This window comes from Homo sapiens, chromosome 2 (genome assembly GCF_000001405.40).
Source record: "Homo sapiens chromosome 2, GRCh38.p14 Primary Assembly".
NCBI lineage: Eukaryota > Metazoa > Chordata > Mammalia > Primates > Hominidae > Homo > Homo sapiens.
In genome coordinates, this window is record NC_000002.12 from 103,292,319 (window position 1) to 103,295,342 (window position 3,024).

General features: G+C 37.9%; 1 annotated feature.

Annotated features, from left to right (window-relative positions):
- Positions 582-2,445: an enhancer, noted in NCBI's record as "VISTA enhancer hs1112". NCBI's record gives its function as "enhancer in: hindbrain (rhombencephalon)[10/12] | midbrain (mesencephalon)[12/12] | forebrain[12/12] | limb[12/12] | branchial arch[12/12] | other[11/12]" and the evidence as "EXISTENCE:transgenic organism evidence [ECO:0001131][PMID:17130149]".

Consider the following 3,024-nt stretch of genomic DNA (forward strand, 5'->3'; position numbering starts at 1 on the left):
TCAAGTTTTCAATTCAAATATGTGGATCTTCTCAAGCCATCAGTCTGACGAGCCTAACAAAATAATAATGAAAAACTTAATATAAGATTTGGAAGTATTGAGATAGGACCTACTACATATAAAATAAAAATGGGAAATACATATGCTTGAGGTAACTTCTGGTCAATACACAATTCTTATGAAATGAAATTCGTACAACTTTTTAGAAATTTGCTTATACCAGTGATCCTCAGGGTTTATTATTTGTTTTTTTATGACCCCTAAAGAGCCTTTGTAGATATTTTATTTCTAATTGTTTCCCTCCCCATGAAATCGTATTAGTTCAGATATATTGTGTATCCGTTGATGTGCTGTAGTCCTTTAGAGAGCCATAAAAGGTTATAATAGCTAAGATTTTTTTTCAGCTCCCCCCACCCCCAAGAATCAATTTCACCCCCTTGGGGGCGATATTGTCCCTGCTGAGAATACATGGCATTCACTAATTCTAATTTCCAGACAGGGGATGGATATGTTTGCTGTAATAATCTCATCCTTTTTTTTCTCTTATCAATATATCGTTGCTAAATGATAAGCAGGGAAACTTCGTAAACTGTCGTTGCAGATCTTAGAAGGGAAAGTGGCATGAAGAAATGAGAGAAATCAATTTGGGGGATCGTGTGGCAGATGTAGGTTCATTCTATAAGTGCGTCCAAGAGCAGAGTCTTAAATCAGCACCTCTAATTTGAGATACGGCACATACATTGTAGCAACAGTGCATGTCTGCAGCGCAAATAAACAAACACCCACCCCCGCCATCCTGGCTGGTCTCTTGACCTGCAAGGCTGCTTTCCAGCCTGTGGGCCCCATTCGGAAGCCAAGCAGGTGAGGAGCAGCGAGAGCGCTTTTGATGTTGCCAGCTCCCTTTGCCACCCAACTTTTTTCCCCTCCAAAACCTCTTAGCAAACTTCAAAGGCCTCCTTGCTTCTTGCCTTAATCCAGTGCACTGAGACCTCCAGTTCAAAGAACTTTCCTTAAACCCTCTTCTTAAACGGCAACCCAAACTTTTTTTCTTTCCTTTCCACAAAGTAGCAATTACAGCTCCGTTGCGTGGCGATTGGGCTCGGCCGATCCGCTCCTGCTATTAATTAATCTCACAAAGGGGGCTCATTTCCTGGCATTCAAATTGACAAGAGACCAGAGAACAGAAAACCCTTTCAAGCAGTTTCAGCTCACCGAGGGGAAGAGGTATCAGAGGAGAGAACCCCACAGTATTTGAGGCGGAGGGCACATTTGATACTCCCTGTACATTCTGCTGATTGAATGATTTTTGTTCACGGAGAGCTCTTTACTAATCTTTTACCTGCAAAGACTTAAACAGAAGGCAATGCAGCAGAAATGTAGCTAAATTTTTGACAGAGGAGATTTACAGGAGCCACTTCCCGATCTCAGCCTACCGAATGCATCTTCTTGAATATCACACTTCACTTTAAACAGAAAGTGTTCACTTTACTCACACAGAAAAGCCCTTGGAAGAGGAGGAGATGAAGAGAGGCAAGAAAGCAGCATAACAGACAAGAGATTAAAGCTTTTTATTCAGTATCTCTTTCGTATTCAAATTGTGCTAAGGGCTCTGTGAAAGTTAGAAGCGAGCTTGTTCAGGAGGGCTTCTAAAGTGTGTACATGGATTTCATGGGAATAGAAAAAAAGCCACAGCCTGGGTAATGAAAGAAAGATAAGATGTCCTACATAAAACAACTCAAGAGTGGTTCAATTACTTCAGCAAACCATCAAGGCAAGCTTTGAAGATTTGAGAAAACACTGTTAAAATTTAACAAAAAACTCATGTTGCAGGTTTTGTACCAATAAATGTTTGTATACTCTGTGAATTGCTTAAGTTATATTCCCCCTGCGTGAATATTGTTTACGTCTTTGGTTTGGGGGTGGATGGGACCAATGCATTTTGACGACACCAGCTATAGAAAAGGAAAGTCCTTTATCAAAGTAAAAAGAAAACAAAAATACTCAGAATTATTTAGAGTCAGAGATTCAAAAAACCAGGTGTCTTTGATTAAATGAAAATATGCTGGTGAATCAGAGGTCCCTCAATGCAGTTTTAGTTAACATTGAGTGGCTGGGTTTTAACACAGATTTCATGCATACAATGAAACGAAGTCTTTACTAGAGAAAAGGGCTTTTTTACCTGCCTTCATCTGTGAGGTTGAAAATACTTGTGTTAAACGAAAGCAAAAAAGCTTCTTCTTGTGTGTGGAACAAGATAAGAAGGAGCCTTAAATGTTGTTTACAGAGGAAGCGAAACAGTTATGGTCTTCAAAATTCTTCAAACCTATGTCACATTTAACAGGGTATTGCCATTCGTTTTGCGATGTGGATGTGTCCTCTAAGACATCTCTTTTTTTGTTAGCATGGGCAGTTGTCTTATTTGATATTCAATCCCACCATGATCTTATCTGTATCGTGATATCGAATCAACTGGGGACTTTTTTAGGGTTTCTTTCTGTTTCTTTTTCTGGTGGCTTCTTTGTGCCTACATTGACTGTTCTTCATAGCTCCAATCAGAAATGCAATAAAACTTCAGCTGATGGAAAATTCTTGGAGAGAATGTTCAAAAAGCATCTTAAATAATTTTAAACAGTGTGTACTTTAGTGTTTCTTAAAGTTTGGTCCAAAATGTATTAAAAAATAAGCTCAAACAGTGATCTCATATGCAGTTCAAAAATTAATATGGAAATTTTCATTTTTTTAATCAAAGGCTCTCTTAAAAGGTAATTAAAATTTTCTCAAATCATCTATCAAATGTTATGTTTTCAATTATGGTAGGGGAGGGATTGTGACTCCAGTCAAATGCAACACATCTTGTGTAACTAAAGTCAATATTATAGAACCAAATTCATTGTGCAAGCCTGTGAAATGTAGAACGAATTTAAGTTTTACGTTTTACACAATTGCAATTAATTTTTTAACATTTTTTCTAAAGTCTGTATGACCCAGAGTCTGTATACATAAGCTACATTTAGTTTTATGTCT